This window comes from Homo sapiens, chromosome 8 (assembly GCF_000001405.40).
Source record: "Homo sapiens chromosome 8, GRCh38.p14 Primary Assembly".
Lineage (NCBI taxonomy): Eukaryota > Metazoa > Chordata > Mammalia > Primates > Hominidae > Homo > Homo sapiens.
In genome coordinates, this window is record NC_000008.11 from 42511452 (window position 1) to 42535876 (window position 24425).

At 41.6% G+C, this 24425-nt stretch overlaps 1 protein-coding gene across 11 annotated transcripts in view; it reads right to left on the minus strand.

Moving 5' to 3' along the window:
- SLC20A2 (solute carrier family 20 member 2) overlaps positions 1 to 24425 on the minus strand; it is a 125480-nt gene that overhangs the window by 94977 nt on the left and 6078 nt on the right. The window contains exon 2 of one of the 11 annotated variants that reach the window (XM_047422121.1): positions 12337 to 12474. The exons of 9 other annotated variants lie outside the window; for them this stretch is intronic. The gene's annotated coding sequence lies outside the window, so the exon portion shown is untranslated. Of the gene's footprint in view, positions 1 to 12336; positions 14913 to 24425 lie in introns of those variants that run through there. One more of the 11 variants, XM_047422123.1, reaches the window with a different exon arrangement.

Here is a 24425-nt window from a genome sequence, read left to right on the forward strand (position 1 = left end):
CCCCATCTCTATTAAAAATACAAAAATTAGCTGGGCGTGGTAGCGGGTGCCTGTAATCCCAGCTACTCGGGAGGCTGAGGAAGGAGAATCGCTTGAACCTGGGAGGCAAAGGCTGCAGTGAGCCAAGATCGCGCCACTGCACTCCAGCCTAGGTGACAGAGCAAGACTCCATCTCAAAAAAAAAAAAGAAGTGGTCACTGTTAGGGTAAGCAGTTCAAAGTCAAGCTCAAATTAAGAGATAAAATATTTATAAGAGGATCTAGTTGCACTTGGCTATAAGAACCCAGCAGGTGACTACTTCCACAGGTCTCTTGATAAACGTACATGATTGTATCCTTAGGTACTAAGTATTTCATTTAAAAAGTACTAAAAAAATGAGTGTTCGTTTTCAAAGTAGCTGTGATAAGCAAAAAACAAACAAAAAACCCCACCAAAAAAACCATAAAACCAAACCCAGAAGGATCAACAACTCAGCTCTCAGAACTATAATAGCCCAATAATTATAATAATCCAAGAGACCATTCTGAGAAATACCAGAGACCAGTTCCTTCATAATACAGGGGGATGGTTCGCAAAAGAGGAGTGGACAAACAGTACTGGGATAGTCATGGTTGATTGTAGACTGCGAAATAAAAGCCAATTATCCATTTTAGACATTAATGCTTTCATTTTAAGAGTTGGTTTCTTCTTTTTGACATTATATTCTTGCCTCTCCAATTGCCAGGACAGGATTCATTTCCCACTTCTTTGACTCAGATCTGTTTTTTAAAAATGCTCTTTGAAAACAACTGAAAATTATCCTTTTTAGTTTCCCAAACTAAGAACCTTTTATGTAAACCATAAAGAACAGCTCTGGATAGATCCAGATTTCTTTACGGCTTAAAAAAAAAAACTTGAAAAACTCTTTTTTTTTTTTGGAGATGGAGTCTCACTGTGATGCCCAGGCTGGAGTGCAGTGGCGTGATCTCAGCTCACTGTAACCTCTGCTTCCTGGGTTCAAGCGATTCTCCTGCCTCAGCCTCTCGAGTAGCTGGGACTACAGGCGTGCGCTATCACACCCAGCTAATATTTGTATTTTTAGTACAGATGGGGTTTCACCATATTGGCTAGGCTGGTCTCGAACTCCTGACCTCAAGTGATCTGGCCACCTTGGCCTCCCAAAGTGCTGGGAATACAGGCCTGAGCCACCACGTCCAGCCCAAAAAACTCTTTTTCAATAAGATGGATAAAAATGTAAAAGGGCAACATATTTATAAGGTCCAACCAACACTGTGACTTTGAAAAAGAAAATTCTTGCCCTTCTTATTTAAAATTATTAAAGTAATAAGCAGCTAGTTAGACAAAGAGCATTCAAGTTGTTCATACACAGCAGATCAGAACTATGCATTCCCAAATCACAACATCAGATTAGTAGTCACTGTTCTTTGTATCAACTTTAAATACACCATTTCTTCTCATAAGAGTGTTGTGGTGGTCAGTGCTCAGGAAAAATCATTAAGATAAGGAACGAATAACACAAAACACCCCTCAAACAGTATCCAACAGAGTATCTCTGAGATCATTTACTAAAGTAATCTCTCTCAAAACCACTTTTATGCTTAAACTAATCCTAGGCACTGAAAAAACAGGAAGAATAAATCACATTTAACTTGCCATTCTTTAGAATGCTGGACAATTCTGAGATGCATGGAGGAAAAAAAGTATTAAAAATAGCCAAGAGAAGGATTAGACAGCAGCTAAAACACAAAGGCCAGGGGTGAGATCAAAATTAGAAACATATAACGTCTGGAGAACTGTCCATATAAGGGCATCCTCATATCAGTAACTCAGTTGGAACAATCCACTGGGCAGAATTAACAGCTGCCACCATCACAGTGGCTGCCTCTCCACCTCTCATTCAGAAACCGCTGGAGTCTTGGGAGACACATATGACATGACTTTATGCTGTTATATTCAGACAGTCAATGTTTGGGGGTATTTTAAAAGCTGGTCTTAACTTTCCTCGTCCTAGATGATAAACTTCATATATTTTGATCTTGCCTTTTTATACAGGTATGAAAAAGCAATACAAGAGGATAAAACTTTGCTGAGCACTTTTAACCACTCCTATACCACATTGACTTGCATTCCCCAACCCCATAGATTTCCTGACTCCCCTGAGCAGGCGGCTGGTTGTACATTCTCATGTGTTCATTTATCCATCAGGCTCTCAGGGAGCTTCCTAACCTGGTGACAAGTGCTTGAGAAAAGAAATGAATAGGATCTTATCTTGCAAGAGTTCAGTGTGCCCTGGAAGACAGGTATATAAATAATTATAATACAGGTAAATCCTGTAACGGAAGTAAGGGATGAAATTCTCTCTGGGGCTTGGGGGAGATTTTGCGATGGAAATACCCAGGCAGAAAAACAGTGAAAGGCATTCTAGGAAGAGCAATCAGTACAGGCAAAGGCTCAGGGGTAGGAAACCATGTAGCATGTTCTGGGAATAGCAGAAGTATGTGTTCTGAATACAAGTGATGGGATATGAATGGGAGAAGAGGTAGAAGATTAGGTTGCAAAAATACATTGGTGCTAGATTGCTGGGGCCTACAAGCACCATGCTAAGGAGTGGGTCCACTATCCTGTAGCTCTGAGGCTCTCAACTCTGGATACACATTAAAATCTCCTGAGAAGCTTTAAAACAAAATGCTGACGGCCTGTTATTTGTTAGCAATAATAATTGGGTCCAGGCATCAGCAGTTTTTAAAAACTTCCCATGTAGCAATTCTAACCTGTGGGCAAGAACCACTCCTGTGGGCAACAGGGAGTCAACACCACTGCATCAGCTTAGGATAGCAATAGAAAAACATTAAAACAATAGTTAACTGGGTAACAGTGTGAAGAGAAGATTAGAAACAGAGACTAGGGGAGAACTGTCAGTTTATAGGCTACTGGAAACAGGCAAGAGATAAGAGTAATTATTAGCCTTTTTTGGGTTACGGACTTGCATGAATGCCAACGATAAAAGCTAAAAAGCCCTCCCCTGGCTGGGCGCGGTGGCTCATGCCTGTAATCCCGGCACTTTGGGAGGCCGAGGCAGGTGGATCATTTGAGGTCAGGAGTTAGAGACCAGCCTGGCCAACATGGTGAAACCCCATCTCTACTAAAAATACAAAAACTACCCGGACATGGTGGTACGCGCCTGTAATCCCAGCTACTTGGGAGGCTGAGGCAGGAAAATTGCTTGAACTCAGGAGGTAGAGGTTGCAGTGAGCTGAGATCACACCACTGCACTCCAGCCTGGGCAATGGAGTAATACTCTGTTTGAAAAAAAAAAAGAAAAAAAAAAAGCCCTTTTCCTAAGAAACATGCACGTATGTCAAAAAACGTACATGTAATTTCTGGGGCTGATGAAGCTCTGTGAGTGATGGATTCAGCTTAGGGAAGCCTGGTGTAAAGGCAGTGATGGAAAAAGAGAGACTTTGGAGGTAGAATCATAGCACTGATGACTTCAGTGGGGAAAAAAAGAGGAATTAAGGATGACACTATCACTTCTAGTGTGAGAAGTATAAACAATAAACATGTACTGTGCACCTAAGTGTCAGGAACCGTACTAAGCACTTAACATGTATTGATCTCATTGATTTTTCCCAATTCTATAAGACAGATTGATATCACATCTGTTTCACAGCTGAAGAACCTGAGATTTACAGACGTTAAATTAGCTTGTCCAAGGTCACATGGAGATAAGTAGCGGGGCAGGAATTGAATCCCAGACAGTTTTGACTCCGGAGCTTGTGGTATTAACCTCTCCCCATGCTATCTCTGATGAATGGTACTTGTGCATTAAACAGGGGTGACAGGAGAGTATGGCAGGAGTAGGTTTAGCATGAGCAAGGTGGGGTGGGGATATAAAAAATTAGTTTTAGACATGCTGTGTTCAAGATAATACAAGACATACAGATGACAGTATCTGTTAAATCAGAAAAAATAGGAAAGAGATCAAGAGGTGAGAGAAGGTGGTATGGTAACAGAATATAGTATTTCTGAGTTCTCTCCAGGTGCCGGCGCTGTGCTGAGTGCTTACTCACAATGGCAAAAGTCTATCACTATCTTTCTTCTGCAAGTGAGAGAACAGACCTAGGAAACCAGGGTCACACAGCCACTAAGTGCTGAAGCCAGATTTGAATCCACGAGGCTACCTTCCTAACCTCTAACCCACCCCTTCCCCGCACTCTAAAAAGTAGAAATCCCGGGGTCATAAGTGACTGTAACCCCCACCCCAACAGTTCTAAGACTGCTAGTGTGTCTTAGAACAGGGGTCTAAGATACAGGGTTTTTTAAACAAAGTTTTATATAAAAATGTTTGACAATATTTATGTATTTCCACAGCTTCAAGGATTTTTATATTGTTTCAATTATCAAAGAGTCATAAGGGATAGCTTAGTCTCAACCAACAAATATTGGCAGTGCACTTCCACAGGTCGGTATGCAAGCTTGGGTGCAAACCATGGGCATGACACAGCATGACACCAGTGCCACACAGAGCTGCTATGCAAGTCAGAAGCCAGGACAACTAGTCTAGTGGAGACTGTGCTTCCTGAAGCCATAGCGAGGGCAGGAAGTGATGAAATTTCCTTTTTTAATCATTTTTGTAATTTGGAAAACTGTGATTCTTCTCCTCTCTAAAGTAACCAAAATGAAATCTTAAACACTATCCTACAAGTCCAGACTAGTTACTTCAGGTGGAACAGCAGAGTAACTTACGCACTGCAGTTTCAGATAAAAATCGGTTATTTTTCAATTCTCAGCACCTTTGAAATACCTGTACTGACAATCACGTAGCCTTTGAGTCAAAAGCACTCCTTCCATAAAAGTACTTTTAAAGGGAATACAATATTATCCTAGAATTTTTTCCTGTTTTAGAATTAAGGTACCTAAGAGAAGAAATATAAAACTCCAGTTAAGAACTTCTGAAGTCCTGTTTTATAACCTCTGGAGCTCAGACTTGTCCATGGCTTGGCTTGAAGGGTTCCCCAACCTGGGAGGTCATTGCTCTCTAGGGCAGCGCATCCTATTGCTGGAGAGCTCTCACCACCACAAGATTCTGTCTTAGACCAAGTAAAAATCCTTTGCCTTATAATCTCTACTCATTCATTCAGTTACTGAGCACAGAAGAGCTACATACCATCCTCTGGTCTTCCTATTCCCTGATCTATAAGGGCTGCTACCACTTTCCTTTTATACCATCCTTCAGATCCAACAACCAAACTCCTTTAGCAGCAGTTCCTGATATGACTTCCTTTCTCCATCCACCACTAGTCCTGCCTCCCTCGTTTGCCAATGTCTCACCTAAACTGTGGTTCAGAGACTTAAACACAATTCATCAACGGTGCTCTAACTAACCCACAAAACAGGACAACAGACTCGATGTAATCTAGGCACCCATCAGTGCAACCTGAGCTTGCTGTTTTTAGCAGCCACATCACAGAGATGCCTCACATAAGCCTGTGCCTCAATAAACTCTGAGCTACTTTTCATCTCGTGCACTTGAGACCGTCCACCACCCCCCAAGCATTTCTCAACTCCTGCAGATCATTTATCCTTAGTATCTCATGTTGCTGATTTTAGAACATTATTACAACCTATTCAGATCATTCTGAAACTAGAATCTGCTATCTATAGTATTAGTCATCTCTCCTAATTTTATGTGACCTGGAAATTAGATAAACTTACTTTGATCCAGGTCTTTACAGAAAGAGGATACTGTGATTTAAAATGTGCTATTCAGGCTGGGCGAGGTGGCTCATGCCTGTAATCCCAGCACTTTGGGAGGGTGAGGTGGGAGGATCACCTGAACCTGGGAAGTTGAGGCCGCAGTGGGCCGTGTTCGTGCCACTGCACTCCAGCCTGGGCAACTGTAGTGAGATCCTGTCTCAAAAAAAAAAAAACAATAATAAAATAAATAAATAAGTAATAAATAAAAATGTGCTATTGATGGGAACTTAGAGTACCTTACAGGTTTTTTAGGCTTAGTAATATTCTCTAATTGACAATATATTATCAATTTTTAGCCATATCTGCAGCAAGAGCCCCTTTGAAAATCTGATGAAAGCCATAAAATGTACAAGTGTACACAATTTTGCCATCAATACCATGTGGTTCATGGACCTCCATGAAGCCCACCATGGTCCTTCTGTTGAGGAGCCCCATCCTAGGGATTCTAGGGCCTCTGGAAAACATTCTGGTTGCCAGGATTCATTAGTATCCAAATATTCCTAAAATAGTTGATTATCCTATTAATGCCCAACTTAATATCCAGAAGGAGTCAATTAACTGGAAGTCAACTGACACTAACTCATTTATTCTAACAGAGAAGACATCCAGAAACTAAGAAATCTGACCAAAACCAAATCATGGATTATAAGAATACTTTAGGAAAAAAGCACAAGTCCCTAAGGTTGTATGTACAAAAACATTGTTTGTAGTGGCAAACTTTTTTAAAGAATTATTTATTTATTTATTTTTGAGACCGAGTCTTGTTCTGTCACCCAGGCTGGAGCGCAGTGGTGCAATCTCAGCTCACTGCAACCTCCGCCTCCCAGGTTCAAGCGATTCTCCTGCCTCAGCCTCCACAGTAGCTGGGACTACAGGTGCGTGCCACCACGCCCAGCTAATTTTTGGTATTTTTAGTAGAGATGGGGTTTCGCCTTGTTAGCCAGGATGGTCTCGATCTCCTGACCTCATGATCCGCACACCTCAGCCTCCCAAAGTGCTGGGATTACAGGCATGAGCCACCACGCCCAGACAACTTTTTTTAAAGAAAGGAAACATCCTGAATGTCCCTTCAATGTCCATTCACAGGGAAATGGTTGACTATATTATTTTACATAAAGCCATACCAAATGGCTATTCATATTTTATTCATAATGGCTATCAAATTTTATTCACATTTTTGAAACAAGAGTTAAATCTATATCTATTGACCTGGAGGCATATCTATGATATATTGAGGAGGAAAATCCGGCTTCAGAATCATGTTCAGAGTTTGAGCCTATTTAAAAAACAAAAATCTAACAAACCCTATGTCATTATACATGCTTTGGAGTACAGAAACAGGTGGGGAGGAATTCACATCAGGCTATGAACATGGGTGGGACATTAACTCTTGTTTTTTATTCATCCGTGTATACTTTCACTTGTTACAAGTAAATAGTTTTACAAAGTAAAGAATTAAGCTAGAAAAAGAGAAGAATGTGGCCCACAATAGGCCCTGTCAGTACTCAAGATGGCTCAGCCCCACACTCCACACAGGTTTTCTAGATGCTCAATTTCCCAAAAAGTTTCCCACCCATCCCACTTCAAAGTAGATGAAGCCCACTTTCCTTTTTGACTACTCAGTGATTCTGAATTTCTCACTGTTTTGGGTATTTGATTCCACTGCATAAGCACTATTCTGCTGTACATATTAAAGCTGTGACCTGAAGTTTAAATGTGTCCACCATTCACAAGGGTGATTTTCCCCACCCTCAGGAAAATACTAATCTCAGCAGAGCCATAAATAAAAGCTATGTGGAACGCACAGTAGTCTAATGCACAGAGGACAGATGCAGGCACTGTACTCAAACTGTAAGGTGCTGAAATTTGAGCACAGACGCTGTTCCTGTTAGTTCAGTGGTTCTCAGTCTTGGCTTAACAGAAGTATCACCTTGGCAGCATTTTTAAAAAATACTGACCAGGCACGGTGGCTCACGCCTGTAATCCCAGCACTTTGGGAGGCCGAGGCAGACAGATCACGAGGTCAAGGGATTGAGACCATCCTGGCCAACATGGTGAAACCCCGTCTCTACTAAAAATACAAAAATTAGCTGGGCATGGTGGCATGTGCCTGTAGTCCCAGCTACTCGGGAAGCTGAGGCAGGAGAATCGCTTGAACCCGGGAGGCAGAGGTTGCAGTGAGCCAAGATCGCACCACTGCACTCCAGCCTGGGCGACAGAGCGAGACTCCATCTTAAAAAAAAAAAAAAAATTACAACCAACACCTGGGCGCCACTTTCGGAGATTTTAATTGAATTGGCCCAGCATAGACACTTGCTTTGTTTTTAAAGCTACCTAGATATTTTGAATATGCAGTTGGGGTCAAGAACTACTGCTTTTTATATTTCACTCTTTTCCTTCTCTTTTTCTAACTTCTTACAAAGAGCACTTCCTTTATCAGGTATGTAAAGGCTAGCCAGATACATCTGGGAAGGCCAAAACCTATGGACCAGCCCCTGCCTGTCTCCCATCCATAACCTGGAATGTCTTTATGTTGGCTTTTGATGCCCAACTTAAAGTGACTTAAATTTATGGCTGTCATAGTTAGAAGCCCCTCACATGTCAAAAGAATATTTGTAGCCTCACTCTGATAATTTATCATGTATAATTAGCCTGGAAGACAATGATTTTATAAAACATATTAGGACCCCAAACATTTTGGAAAACAAAAGTGCCAGTGGTGCTCTACCAATCAGTTGAAATGTTGCCGGACATTAGTCAATTAATGAGTTTCCCAATTTCCCAACTCTTTATGCTAATCTTTTTTTTTTTTTTTTTTTTTTTAAGACAGAGCCTCACTCTGTTGCCTAGGCTGGAGTGTAGTGACATGATCTCGGCTCACTACAACCTCCATCTCCCGGGTTCAAGCAATTCTCCTGCCTCAGCCTCCCAAGCAGCTGGGATTACAGGCACCCACCATCACACCTAGTTAATTTTTGTATTTTTAGTAGAAACGGGGTTTCACCATGTTGGCCAGGCTGGTCTCAAACTCCTGACCTCAAGTGATCCGCCCGCCTCAGCCTCCCAAAGTGCTGGGATTACAGGCATGAGCCACCGCGCCCAGCCTCTTTATGCCCATCTTTATAAGTATTTTAAAAATTCTTCATGTCCACCCAGGAACACCAAAAAAATAAATAAGTAAAAATTAACCTCTACCACATTACAAAGAATTGATATTTTAAAAGCCCGTTACTTGAGGCTGGGGGCGGTGGCTTACGCCTGTAATCCCAGCACTTTGGGAGGCCGAGGTGGGCGGATCATGGGGTCAGGAGATTGAGACCATCCTGGCTAACACAGTGAAACCCCATCTCCACTGAAAATGTAAAAAATTAGCCGGGCGTGGTGGCGGGTGCCTGTAGTCCCAGCTACTCGGGAGGCTGAGGCAGGAGAAGGGCGTGAACCCGGGAGGCGGAGCTTGCAGTGAGCTGAGATCATGCCACTGCACTCCAGCCTGGGTGACAGAGCAAGACTCCACCTCAAAACAAAAAAACAAAAAACAAACCAAAAAAAAAAACCCCATTACTTGAAATATTTTCCCCATCCAAATGTACTGTCTGAGAACGGTAATTATTCCCCACAAGAAAAAGCTCAATAAAACATTAAAAGGGATTCATTAAGAAAAGAAAATAATATTTGAGTACGTGTTGTCTTACAGTATACATAAGACAGGGTTCTATATGTTGGACTCAGCTGCAAATTATACAGAAAGATATTTTAAAACAAGGTGCAATGTATATTATTTATAATGGTTGCCATTAAGAAATGACTGTTTATAAGTGCTGACTGCATTAGCATGTATATTCAAAAAAGCCTAATGTTCCATTTAAAAAAAATTTGATCTAGCAATCACACTCTTCAGCATTTTTCCCACAGAAATGAAAACTTAGGTCCACAGAAAAACCCGTACACAAATGTTCATAGCAACACTATTTGTAAAAACAAAATAACCCAAATGTCCTTCAATGGACAAATGGCTAGGCTGTGGTATACCTGCATCATGGAATACTACTCAGCAGTAAAAAGTAACAAACTGCTGATACTCAGGACTCAATGCATACTCAATACTCAATGGATCTCAAGGGCATTATGCTGAGTGAAAAAAGCCAATCTCAAAAGGTTACAGATTGCATGATTCCATTTATATAGTATTCTCAAAATGAGATCAGATTAGTGGCTACCAGCAGTTAGGGGCTTGCTATAAAGGGGTAGCAAAGGGAAAGCCTTGGGGTGATGAATCGATCCTGTATTTTTTTTCTTCTTGAGACAGGGTCTCCCTCTGCTGCCCAGGCTACAGTACAATGGCACCATCATCGCTCACTGCAGCCTCAACCTCCTGGGCTCAAGTGATGCTCCCACCTCAGCCTCCTGAGTAGCTGGGACTACAGATGCATGCCATCACACCTGGCTGATTTTTGTACTTTTTGTAGAGATGGGGTTTTGCCATGTTGCCCAGACTGGTCTCAAACTCCTGGGCTCAAGCGATCCTCCTGCCTCAGCCTCCCAAAAGGCTGGGATTACAGGTGTGAACCACTATGCCCAGCCAATTCTGTATCTTGATTGTGGTAGTGGTAACACAAATCTACACGTGATCAAATTGTACAGAACTATGGACACGCTTCACCAATGAGTGCATGTAAAACAGGGAAATCTGGGAATAAGCTCTGTGGGTGACTCAGATTTATGGCAATTTTCTGGGTTTTTGGGGAAAACTGAGTAGAGGGTAAACAGGACCTCTCCGTACTACTTTTTTAACTTCCTGTGAGTCTGTAATCATTTAAAAACAAAAAGTTTTTTAAAAGTTTGTGAAGAGGGTTGCCCATTTAGGAGACATAAACCATTTTTCCTAACCTAAGTGAAGGTACAAGCACGTAAAGGGGAAAGATGCAAATGGATGGCTAGAGAGGAGAAGACTGCCAGAATAATAGTGAGCAAGCAGTTATCACGTCCCAGGTACTAGAGCCTATCTCATTTAACTCAACAGACAATCCAATGAGGTGGCTGCTGATAAATATCCTTACTTTTCAGATGAGGACACCGAAGGATGGAGAAGACAAGAAATTCATTCAACTTCAGCTGGTAAATAGCCAAGGTGTCAAAGTTAAGAAAAGTAATACAATTTCAAAGCAAAAAGGGTTAAGAAAAAGCACTACTGGCCAGGCATGGTGGCTCACGCCTGTAATCCTACCACTTTGGGGGGCCGAGGCGGGTGGATCACCTTAGGTCAGGAGTTCAAGACCAGCCTGGCCAACATGGTGAAACCCTGTCTCCACTAAAAATACAAAAACCAGCTGAGTGTGGCAGCAGGTGCCTGTAATCCCAGCTACTTGGGAGGCTGAGGCAGGAGAATCACTTGAACCCGGGAGGCGGAGGTTGCAGTGAGCTGAGATCGTGCCACTGCACTCCAGCCTGGGCGACAGAGCAGGACTCCATCTCAAAAAAAAAGGTATTATTGTAGCAAAAAGGTTTCTTTTCTCTTCTTTAGAGACTTGTTCTGTCACCCAGGTTGGAGTGTGGTGGTGCGAGCATGGCTCACTACACCCTTGAATTCCTGGGCCCAGGCGAGCCTCCTGCCTCAACCTCCTGAGTAGCTAAGACTATAGGTATGCATCACCACACCTGGCTAATAATAATAAAAAAAAAAAATCTGTAGAGATGGCGGGGTGGGGGGGGTCTCTCTGTGTTGCCCAGGTTAGTCTTGAACTCCTGGCCTCAAGCAATTCTCCCACTTTGGCCTCCCAAAGTGCTGGGATTGCGGGTATGCACCACTGCTCCCAGCAAAAAGGGGTTTTAAAAGTAGCTTAGAGGCCAGGTGTGGTGGCTCATGCCTGCAATCCCAGCACTTTGAGAGGCCGAGGCGGGCAGATCACGAGGTCAGGAGTTCGAGACCAGCCTGGCCAATATGGTGAAACCCCGTCTCTACTAAAAATACAAAATTAGCTGGGCATGGTGGCACATGCCTGTAGTCCCAGCTACTACGGAGGTTGAGGCAGGAGAATCGCTTGAACCTGGGAGGTGGAGGATGCGGTGAGCCGAGATTGTGCCATTGCACTCCAGCCTGGGCAACAACAGCGAAACTCTGTCTCAAAAAACTAAATAAATAAATAAAATAAATAAATAAATAAATTGCATATTTTAACAGTATGTGAACAAACAGAGGCTATTATAGCATAAATTCAATGCAAGTAAATGGGTATTTAAAAGGAAATTTGCTGTTCTGGTTATAAAGTTTTTGAGACAGGGCTAGTATCTCACTTAATTTTAAAGATCAAGTGAAACCCCAAGAAAAGACAATATTTAAAACATCAAGAGTATTAATCATCCTTTTAAGTCATCAACAGTCAAGTAATCCACTTAATGTGCTGCTTGAAGAAAATAGAATAAGCACTGTCCATTCTGCCTTTAGGTTCATCTCTGATATCAGGGGTATTCTTTCCTCTGAAGTCATCTTCTTAAAAACAAATGCAAAATCAACATGTTGGTTTTCTTAGAAGCTTTGTAAAGTCCCAATGCAGGAAATTACACGTAAGAATGTTACTTGACCTTCAGAAATCCCTCACAGAAGATCTGAGTGGAACAGCTCCACCACCACATTCCCATCCGTGGCTTCGGCTAGTGGCGAAATCTGAAAAATAATTCTTCTTGTGATATGTCCTTGGAATTTCTTCCTCACGTACAAAGCTTAAGAGTTAATTAAGGTAAAAAAGCAACAATATATAGTTAGAGATCGGCCATACAGTCATTATCAATCTTTCGGCCTCGAAGAACTCAAATAGGAGATTATTTCTTCCAACTAAGACCCTCAGACAGCAGATTTTGATAAAAGCTGTAACCCAGGCCATTCTGCTGGTGGACAGAATCTCTCCCTAATTGCTGGGAGAGTATACCAAGGAACTGTATTTTCACTAAAGCCACATTTTAATTCATGATAAACACAACTTCTGGAAATTTTTACAACTAAATATTCTTAAATAGAAAGGCTTTTAAGATATGAAAATGGTATTATGGTTATGCTTTGAAAAAAGTTTTTTCCTTTTGAATATACTGAAATATTTATAGTGATTTAATATGTGGGATTTACTTCAAAATAACATGGTGGTGGGGGGAGTGGGTAGAAGTTTTAACACGATTGGCCACAAATTTATAAAGCTGGGTGGTGGGGACATGATTAATTACACTATTTTGTCTTCTTTAAGCTTAAAAATTTCCAACATAAAAAATTGTGCATATCCTTGCATGAGATATAAAATATACCCATGCAGGCTGGGCGCTGTGGCTCACCCCTGTAATCCCAGCATTTTAGGAGGCCGAGTCGGGCAGATCACAAGGTCAGGAGTTCGAGACCAGCCTTGCCAACATGGTGAAACCCTGTCTCTACTAAAAACACAAAAATGAGCCAGTTGTGGTGGCGAGCGCCTGTAATCCCAGCTACTTGGGAGGCTGAGGCAGGAGAATCGCTTGAACCCGGGAGGCAGAGGTTACAGTGAGCCAAGACTGTGCCATTGCACTCCAGCTTAAGCAACAAGAGCAAAACTCCATCTCAAATAAATAAATAAATAAATAAATAAAAATAAAAATAAAATATACCCATGTAACAAGAAATTCTGAGACTGAGGCAGAAATCCAGATTCTTAAATGCTTTTGCTACTGCATAATCCCAGGCAAATCATCTCACCTAATAAAAAGTTTCCTATTTCTAAAATCCACTGCTAAAGCATGATGATTTCTAAGGTTGCTTCCAGGTCTAATATTTTTACTCTGAGAATGCTGTTTTGTTTTTTTCTGAATTGAGTTTTAGTTCATCTTTTGTTAGCTGTCTACAGTAGCTGACTCTATATTGAAAAGGCACAGGTGTCTCAGACAAGTGTGATCTCAAAGCAGCTCTTTAGGACTGCTGGTGCCACACCCACCATCATCCCTCACTAAAGGAAATACAGAAAAAGGAAGGGAGGCAACTCTGGTGACAGATACACCTCTATTTTTCGTGAGAATGCTCACGCCTCTGAAATCTGCTTACGTATTATTAAGAGTCACATATCACATGAAATGTAAAATGGCTGGGCACGGTGGCTCACCCCTGTAATCCCAGCACTTTGGGAGACCGAGGTGGGTGGATCACTTGAGGTTGGGAGTTTGAGACCAGCCTGACCAACATGGTGAAACCCCGTCTGTACCACAAATACAAAAATTAGCTGGGCATGGTGGAGAGCACCTGTAATCCCAGCTACTCAAGAGGCTGAGGCAGGAGAATTGCTCACACCTGGGAGGTGGAGGTTGCGATGAGCTGAGATCGCACCACTGCACTCCAGCCTGGGCAACAGAGCAAGACTCTGTCTCAAAAAAAAAAAAAAAAAAAAAAAAGAAAGTAAAATGGGCAGACCTTTCTGAATACATGATCGACAATTTTCATAAATGTCTTCTGAAGACTGCTTATCACAGTATTGTTTACAACTGATTTGATACCTCAATTGCCATCAATAAGGGATTGGTTAAATTATAGTAGAGTACATTCTTACAATGGAATACCATGCAGATATTTAAAAAATTAAGATATAAACCCACGATGATAGGGATATGGCAAGGGGGCACAGGAACCAACTGAAATAGCTCCCAACGACAAAAGCTAGAACAATCTGAGCAATAAATAAAGTAGCATTGGATTATAACCCAGGGTATATTCATGAGTATATACAGATATAAATGTTGAATAAAGAAATGGAGGAGATAGATACAGCTCCTGTACAGAACTCCAAATCATCTACATAGATATTCTGCCCTCAAGGAGGTAGGCATAACTTCCCACTCCTGAAGCGTGGGCTGCCTTCCCAAGAGGGAAGCACAGAAACAGGTAAGAAGGAGGAACTCTGCAGTGGTGAAGCTGGGCAAACACGACCCCAGCAGAGTGACTAAGGTCAACATCAACACTGATGAGTCATGTTGACTGTATATACCTCTGAAATGATGTGATGAAAATGGCCTGCTGCCTCTGTGATCTCCCTCCCTGAAACTCCTAACCCCAGCATAACCATGAGAAAAACAACAGACGAATCTCAACTGAGCAACATTCTACAAAATATCTGACTGGTGAACTGAAAACTGTCAAGGTCATTTAAAAAAAAAAAAAGAAGTCTTAGAAACATCACAGCCGGCTGGGTGTGGTGGCTCACGCCTGTAATCCCAGGACTTTGGGAGGCCAAGGTGGGCGGATCACTAGGTCAGGAGATCGAGACCCTCCTGGCTAACACAGTGAAACCCCGTCTCTACTAAAAATACAAAAAATTAGCTGGGTGTGGTGGTGGGCACCTGTAGTCTCAGCTACTCGGGAGGCTGAGCCAGGAGAATGGCGTGAACCCAGGAGGCAGAGGTTGCAGTGAGCCGAGATCGCGCCACTGCACCCCAGCCTGGGCGACAGAGAGAGACTCTGTCTCAAAAAAAAAAAAAGAAACTGTCACAGCCAATGACTGAAATCTGAATAAAGTATGAAATTTTGGTAATAATAATAATAATGTATTGATATTGGTTCATTAATTTTAGCAAATGTATGACATGAATGTAAAATGTTAATAGGAGAAACTGGCAACAGGTGCACTGGCTTCCACCTGTAGTCTCAGCACTTTGAGGGGTCACGGTGGGTGGATCACTTAAGTCCAGGAGTTTGAGAACTGCCTGAGCAACATAGCAGGACCCCGCCTTTACAAAAAAATAGAAAAATTTGCCATGCATGGTGGCGTGCGCCTATAGTACCAGCTACTTGGGAGGCTGAGGTGGAAGGACTGCTTGAGCCTGAGAATCGAGGCTGCAGTGAGCTGAGTTCGTACCACTGCACTCCAGCCTGAGTAACAGAGTAAGAGCCTGTCTCAAAAAAAAAAAAAAAAAGTGGGCCGGGTGTGGTGGCTCGCGCCTGTAACCCCAGCACTTTGGGAGGCGGAGGCGGGCAGATCACCAGGTCAGGAGTGCGAGACCAGGCTTACCAACATGGTGAAACCCCGTCTCTACTAAAAATACAAAAATTAGCCGGGTGTGGTGGGGTATGCCTGTAATCTCAGCTACTGGGGAGGCTGAGCTTGCGGTGAGCCAAGATCGCACCATTGCACTCCAGCCTGGGCGACAGAGCAAGCCTCCATTTCAAAATTAAGGAAAAAAAAAAAAGAAACTAGATGTGGAGTATACAGGAGCTCTATTAATCTTTGCAACTTTTCTATAAATCTAAAACTTTTCTTAAAAACAGTTCATTTTTAAAAATGGGGAAAAGGCCGGATGCAGTGGCTCACACCTGTAACCCTAGCACTTTGGGGGGCTGAGGAGGGCGGATCACCTGAGGTTGGGAGTTCAAGACCAACATGGAGAAACCCCATATCTACTAAAAATACAAAATTAGCCAGGCGTGGTGGCGCATGCCTGTAGTCCCAGCTACTCGGGAGGCTGAAACAGGAGAATCGCTTAAACCCAGGAGGTGGAGGCTGCGGTGAGCCGAGATCGCGCCACTGCACTCCAGCTTGGGCAACAAGAGCGAAACTCCGTCTCAAAAAAAATAAATAAATAAAGGAAAAAATTTTGAATGAAGATATAAATGTATAATGACATAGAATAATGGCCAAAATATAATAAATGAAATTAGAATTAAAAACAACATGCCTATTATAAATCTATTTGTATTTTAAAAACATGTGTATGTGTCTATACACCAAAAAGTCAGCGAAACTATACATCAAAATGTTAACCTCTGGGTGGTAGAACTACTAGTCATTTTCACTGCTCTCTTCTTTATACCTTTCTGTATTACCTGATTTTCTATTACCACTAAGCACTGATTGCTCTTAACACTGAACCTCATTACTTCTACAACCAGGAACAAAGATATGTTATTTTGGAAAAGGTGTATACCACAGGATATTGATAGAGTACTCCTTAGCTCAAAAGAATGTGCATTTATATGACAGGGCGCGGTGGCTCACACCTGTAATCCCAGAACTTTGGGAGGCCGAGGCAGGCAGATCACGAGGTCAGGAGATCGAGACCATCCTGGCTAACACGGTGAAACCCCGTCTCTACTAAAAGTACAAAAAAGTTAGCCGGGCGTAGTGGTGGGCACCTTTAGTCCCAGCTACGCAGGAGGCTGAGGCAGGACAATGGCGTGAACCCGGGAAGGAGAACTTGCATTGAGCAGAGATAATGCCACTGCACTCCAGCCTGGGCGACAAAGCGAGACTCCATCTCAAAAAAAAAAAGAAAAGAAAAAAGAATATGCATTTATAAAACAGCCAAATTTTACTTTTTCAAGGGGAAATATTTGAAAAGGCAGTACAGAAAAGTGGTTGAAAGCACAGGATTTAATCAGACTTAGATTAAAATCCTGGCTTAATCATTTACTTTCTGCACGATCTTGGGTAATTCCATCATATCCTGCCTCAATGTCCTATTTTATTTTTTTAATTTTTTTTGAGATGGAGTTTCGCTCATTGCCCAGGCTGGAGTGCAGTGGTGCGATCTTGGCTTACCATAACCTCTGCCTCCTGGGTTCAAGCGATTCTCCTGCCTCAGCCTCCCGAGTAGCCAGGATTATAGGCATGCGCCACCATGCCCGACTAATTTTTGTATTTTTAGTAGAAACGGGGTTTCTCCATGTTGGTCAGGCTGGTCTCGAACTCCTGATCTCGGGTGATCCCCCCGCCTCAGCCTCCCAAAGTGCTGGGATTACAGGCATGAGCCACCGAGCCCGGCCTATTATTATTATTATTATTATTTTTTGAGACAGGGTCTTACCCTGTCACACAGGCTGGAGTGCAGTGGCGTGATCGTACCTCACCATAACCTCAAACTCTTTGGCTCAAGCAATCCTTCCACTTCACTTTCCCAAGTAGATGGGACTACAGGCACATGCCACCACACCCAGCTAATTTTTTTCAAAGAGATGGAGTCTTGCTATGTTAACTAGGCTGCTCTTGAACTCCAAGGCTCAAGTGATCCTCCTGCCTTGGCCTCTCAAAGCACTGTAATTACATGTGTGAGCTACCTCACCTGGCCCATTTCCTCATTTTTTTAAATGTAATAAATAAGAAATTTTAAAATTAAAAGAATTTTGAAAAAAATAAAATGTAATACAACCAATCTGGAGGACTACCCCAACATCTATTTATTTACTTATAATCACATATTCTATGAGTATATTACAGAAAATATGTTTTATCACATCATTTTATTAGAAAATTACATAATAGCAATGGGTTAATGTATGTCAAGAACCTACTGAGGCTCCATAATGGAAACTGTTACTATTAATAGCATAGTAAATAGCCAAGAAAAACTAAACACTGTCAGGAAAAGCTCAGTTTCTCAAAAAACATAATAGGGAACCATGAAAGACAAAACCAGTACCTCAGCTCATCCTACATCTCAGCAATGCCTCAGACATTTCTGCTAACAAGACATACATTATGAAGATTACACATGCTCTTGTTCACATGCCCACAGGACTACTGAGAATCTTCCAGAGAACACAAATGAAAGCCACTTTTCTAATCATCACCAGCTTAAACTAAGCTTTGGATATTAATGCACCAAGTCTCCCTGTCTATGGGAATGCAGTTTTCCTCTCTCTGAATCGATACAAAATAATACTAATCATAAAATATACACTAAACTTATTTAAACCTTTTGATTATAAGTGAAATAACTTTTAAAAAAGAAACTTTAGATACAGTATATATTTTGATCTTTATCAAAATCCTGGGCTGGCAGTTCTATCCAAATACCAACATTTTAAAATTACCCCAGCTACAATCCTCATAACGCACAAAATCACAATCTGATGGACAAGTTTAATCATGCAATGAGTATGTGATTTTTTTTTTCCAAGCCAAACAACCTGGGTCAAAAGAATGAATTTTTTCAGGTGAAAAATTTACCCAACCTAATTTATCAGATGGTATACAGGCCAGAGACCCATATTTTAAAGAGCTGATAATTTAGGAAGATAATAAACCATAAACAAAATTCAAATCACTGTGCCATATTTTTTCTACATTAGAAATGCAGGAAGTTAATTTAAACAGCAACTTTTAAAAAAGCAAAAAAGTTAACTTTGTCCAAGTCTCCAAAACAGATATTATTCAGGAAATATACTCAGGTTGGTATTAAATATATATAACCCAGTGTTGGGATTACAACTATAAAAAGACTTAGTAATATTCTAACATACTCCAAAACTTCTGTATCCATAAATTTTACTCAAATCTTCCCAAAAGTAGTCATTGCGAAGACCTACTCCAATAATGTTGACATGCTTCTTCTTGAACAGGCTTCAGAAACCTGTGGCACATTTTGGTCAAATATGCTCAACTGTTGCAAATTTTGAGAATGGATTTATGGAAGACACAAAAGTCACTAAAAAAGACATCTGGTAAACTGATCAGGCTAAATAAACTTCTTTTAACTAAAAAAAGGGTGAGGTGACTAACTATAAATATGGTTAGTATTTTGGGTTTTGTTTTTGAGACAGTCTTACTCTGTCACCCAGGCTGGAGTGCAGTGGCATGATCTCAGCTCACTGCAACCTCCACCTCCCGGGTTCAAGGGATTCTCCTGCTTCAGCCTCCCCAGTAGCTGGGATTACAGATGCCCGCCACCACGCCTTGCTAATTTTCTTTGTATTTTTTAGTAGAGATGAGGTTTTACCATGTTGGCCAGGCTGGTCTCGAACTCCTGACCTCAAGTGATCTGCCCGCCTCGGCCTCCCAAAGTGCTGGGATTACAGGGGTGAGTCACTGAGCCCAGCCAGACTCTCCCTATTAATCAGTTCTCCTGTAATAGCTGCTACACACATATATTTTAGCATCTGCCACACTGTACTGCTATCATTCACGTATTAATATTCCCTATTCAACTGTGAGCCTCCAGAGAGAAAGGACCATACCTTATTCATCTCTATAGTTCCAGAACACAGGCTGGACCTAGCACATCTACATAAGTTCCTTGTTAGTAGCCTAATTGTGGCTTTGCGGCCATTCTTTACTAACTGCTCAGGGATGGTGAATATTACAGGACCATTAATGGACTCTTAGCCATTCTTTTAGCTCTAAGATACCCAAACAACCACCCTCACAATTAAGGCAGGCTCAGCAGAAAGAATCTTCAATACAATCAACCCCTCTTTGTAGGGCTGTTCTTATATCTTAAACACCATGAATGTGATATATAAGGGTTTTTAAGTTGAAAAACTGCACTCACATCAGTCTACCTCCAGCAGTTCACATATATTATAATAATTAAATGACAGGACAGCACCATATTCATAGAATATAGAAGAATAAAGGAAAAATATGAGACAATGTGAGTCAACAGCATAATACAAAGTTTTGCCAAAAGCTCCATTTTCACAATGCTACAACTACAGGGTCCAGAGGGGTAAGACCACACAATTTATGAGCTTTCCCACACAAGAAACGAAAAGGGTTGGTTGTTAATGGCATTCTGACACTATTACAGTATAATTACAAAATGACACAGGTTAATATTTAAGGAGACATTAAGCCTCTCAAAAATAAAATGAGTATTTACAAGATTAAGTCTCTGCTTTTTTTTTTTTTTTTCTTTTTGAGACAGAGTCTCGCTGTCACCCAGGCTGGAGTGCAGTGGCGCGATCTCAGCTCACTGCAACCTCGGCCTCCCGGGTTCAAGAAATTCTCCTGCCCCAGCCTCCCGAGTAGCTGGGACTACAGGTGCCTGCCACCACGCCTGGCTAATTTTTTTTTTTTTTTGTATTTTTAGTAGAGACGGGGTTTCACCATGTTGGCCAGGATGGTTTCAATCTCCTGACCTTGTGATCCACCCAACTCAGCCTCCCAAAGTGCTGGTATTACAGGTGTGAGCCACTGTGCCTGGCCAGTCTCTGTCTGCTTTGTTAACTACTGAAGGTCTTAAAACTTAAAGGAGAATGTAAACTACAAATGACCCAATACTAAAGCTAGTTAACGGAAGTACTGATACTTTTTATTCTTTTCAGGGACCGTTTATCTAAAAAATGTTAAGGCTTATGCTTTCAGATCTCAGTCCAATTTCTAGAAATTAACAATGAGTCCTTTTATAGCACTTACCTTTCTCTTCCTGCCTTCCCCACCTCCACCCCAAACTTGCTTTGGGTGTTCTTTAATCTTTCAAGGGAGTGATAAATGTCACAAACTCTTAAATAAAGGGCTGAAATGGCAGCGTATGACTGTTTTGACTGTCTTTAAAGTAGTATTAGTCTTCTAGAATACTAATCTAATTCTTAGAAACAGAAAACAGAGGAAGCTCAATGTTCGAAGGGAAGTTAATAATAATTGATTCATCCTGGCTACCCAGGAAATGCACAGTAAGGATGTGTGTTCTATGTAAAGGCAGACAACAAATCCATCTAGTAATACCTATTAATAGAAAAAGAGCTCAAGGACCAAGTGCACAAGGACTAACAAGCACAGGAAGAAAACAAAATAAATGTGGAGACGAGAAGGAACCAGAGCTAGATAAGACACACGGGAGACCAAGGCGGTGGAGAAGAACAAAGCAGGACTGACCGGGCTGAGTGGAACGTAAGTGGACCACAGGCGAGGGTGAAGTGGCAGGTGCGCAGGCGGGAGGGCTAACAGCAGCAAAAGACGAGGTGGCCCAGAGGAAGGCACACCCAAGTCCACAGAGGACGGAAAGACTAGGCTGAATCATGGAGAAGGGAGGGAGTAGGCAAAATACAAGAAACTAAATAAGAAATTCTGGACCGAAGAGGAAAAATATAAAAGTGGGACCAAGTGATAAACAGGGCAGAAGGAAGCTAAAAGAATGATGCAGAACAGGCCTATCAGGGAAAGAAACACTATTTTCAAAATGATGTATGGAATTTTGCTTCATTAAATTAAAAATATGTTCCTTTGTTTATATTTCTTCCTGCTGGTTAAGACTTCATTCATAAAAGCAAAAATTGTCCTCAATTTACAGAAGAAAAAATTGTTGATGAGGTTAACTGACTTAGCCATAACAGCTGAAAACAATGACATGCACTTACGGCAAGTGCTCTTCGTTCTAATCAACAAACTACTTATTAAAAAAATGTGCCTATTGGGCCAGGTGCAGTGGCTCACACCTGTAATCCCAGCACTTTGGGAGGCCCAGGCAGGCGCATCACTTGAGGCCAGGAGTTCAAGACCAGCCTGGCCAACATGGTGAAACCCCGTCTCTACTAAAAATACAAAAATTAGCTGGGCTTAGTGGCGCATGCCTGTGATCCCAGCTACTCGGGAGGCTGAAGCACGAGAACTGCTTGAGCCCAGGAGGTGGAGGTTACAGAGTAGGTTTATATTTACCGAGATTGCGTCGTCATCACACTCCAACCTGGGCAACAAACTGTCCATGCACATTAATGGCCTTAATGATCAACTGTTCTTTTTTTTTTTTTTTTTTTTTTGAGACGGGAGTCTTACTCTGTCGCCCAGGCTGGAGTGCAGTGGCGTGATCTCAGCTCCCTGCAACCTCCACCTCCCAGGTTCAAGCGATTCTCCTGCCTCAGCCTCCTGACTAGCTGGATTACAGGCGTGCACCACCATGCCCGGCTAATTTTTGTATTTCTAGTGGAGACGGGGGTTTCACTATGTTGGTCAGGCTGGTCTCGAACTCCTGACCTCGTGATCTGCCCACCTCGGCCTCTCACGCCACCATGCCCGGCCCTGTTCGTTACTTACAAAAACTTCTCCCTCTCTTTGTGCTTACTAGCATTTGAAGAAATCCCTGCTTCTTACTGCCTGCCCCTCAAAACAACAAAAGGGGCCAGGTATGGTGGCTCATGCCTGTAATCCCAACACTTTGGGGAGGCTGAGGTGGGTGGATCACCTGAGGTTGCGAGTTCAAGACCAGCCTGGCCAATATGGTGAAACCTGTTCTCTACTAAAAATCCCAGCTACTCGGGAGCCCAAGGCACGAGAATTACTTGTACCTGGGAGGCAGCGGTTGCAGTTAGCCGCGATCGCATCATCGCACTCCAACCAGTCTGGGCGACAGAATGAGACTCTGTCTCAAAAAAAATAAATAAAAAGGAAAGAAGAGGTAACACTGACATCGATATTGCTAAAAAAGAAGCTTAATGCAAGTTTAACACAATGGTTAAGAGACCTCATACATTTTCTATACATTTCTACTACCCATGTTTTTCTGGTTTCCTAGAAAACTGAAAATAGAACATAGAGATTACCCTTCATTTCCACCTAGAATATGAGAACAACAAAACACTGAACAAGAACATATGAATAGTAAAGAGTAATGCTGGAAAGAACAGAAATTGTTCTATTCTTGATCCTAGAAAATAACCTAGGGTAGAATGCAACTATACCAAAGATCTATTTGCGAGGATTTAATTTTTAAACTGAAAAAATATGGTAATCAGATCTTCAGTGCCAAAAATTATTTTTAAAAACGTAGGCATATACAGAGGCTGGGAGTAGATAAAGGTGAAATTAAAGTCATAAGAGTATGAACAAGAAGCAGCACATCACTATGAAAAAGCAATTCAGCACACGACACCCTTTAGGAATTATTCAATGAAAGCCAATTTCTGGGGACCAACATCCCAGTGAACTGTTCCTATTTGTTCTCCCACTGTTGTTACCTCCTATTTCTCTGTCCATACAGAGTAAAACTCTGAGCCTAAGTAAATTACTAGCCATTGCAGTAGTGGAAAATAACTTAATATTATACACAAAAGCGGATGGGTTAACAAAGATAATGTAAGAAACAACTAAAAAAAATGTGCTGGAGTCCTGTCACTCATATTTTCAGAACTTTCTTCTTCAGCTGCTCAAAAATCCTCGATGGAATTGAAGGTGCTTCTAGAATATGCCTTTTCTTTGGTTTTTGACTATTCTTCCGTGAATATCTTCATGAGTCATTTGGCCAGGCAGTCCACTCACAGGCATCTGACACATTATTATTTAGTCCTGGAAATGGTTGCCGCGCCACAGGCTTTAGGAGGCTTCCTGTGGGAATAAGCCTGATGTACTGGTCTCTGCTGCAGACATGCTGAAACTAGGTTTATCTCTCACATTCAAAGATGGCATTGTTTCCAAGGAGATGCCTTTAAAAAAGAAAAGTTGAAAATCAACTAGATTAAAAAAAAAAACTAATAATGCAGTGCAAATTTTCATACAATATTGTATTTCAGCTAAGACTGAAAAATAATTCTAATAAGAAATTTTAATGTTTCACTTCAGTTTTAAGTATACAATATTTTCAAAAAAACTTAAAAGGGCATCACAGGGTATACAGTAAAAGAACCGCAAATAATTGAAAAGCATGGTTTACACTCCGCTGTAAGATGAACTACTGAATTGATGACTTGGTAAACTTCTTCCAGCCATAGGATTCTGAAACTGTATTATCTGGTGACTAAATCTTGGTACCACTGAACCAAATCTAGGCAAGTCATTTGTTTGCCCAGGTTTTCTTAAATATAAAATACAGGGCTGGTTCTTCTTACTGGAGAAAAGGCACCAGAATCACTTAAGGATGGTTTAATACTGATGTCCGGGGCCTGTGGCAGCAGCTCTACCAAATTTGCGTCTCAGGAGTTAAGTGAAGACATCTGCTACTTTCAGGATAAACCCTGGGTCATTCTG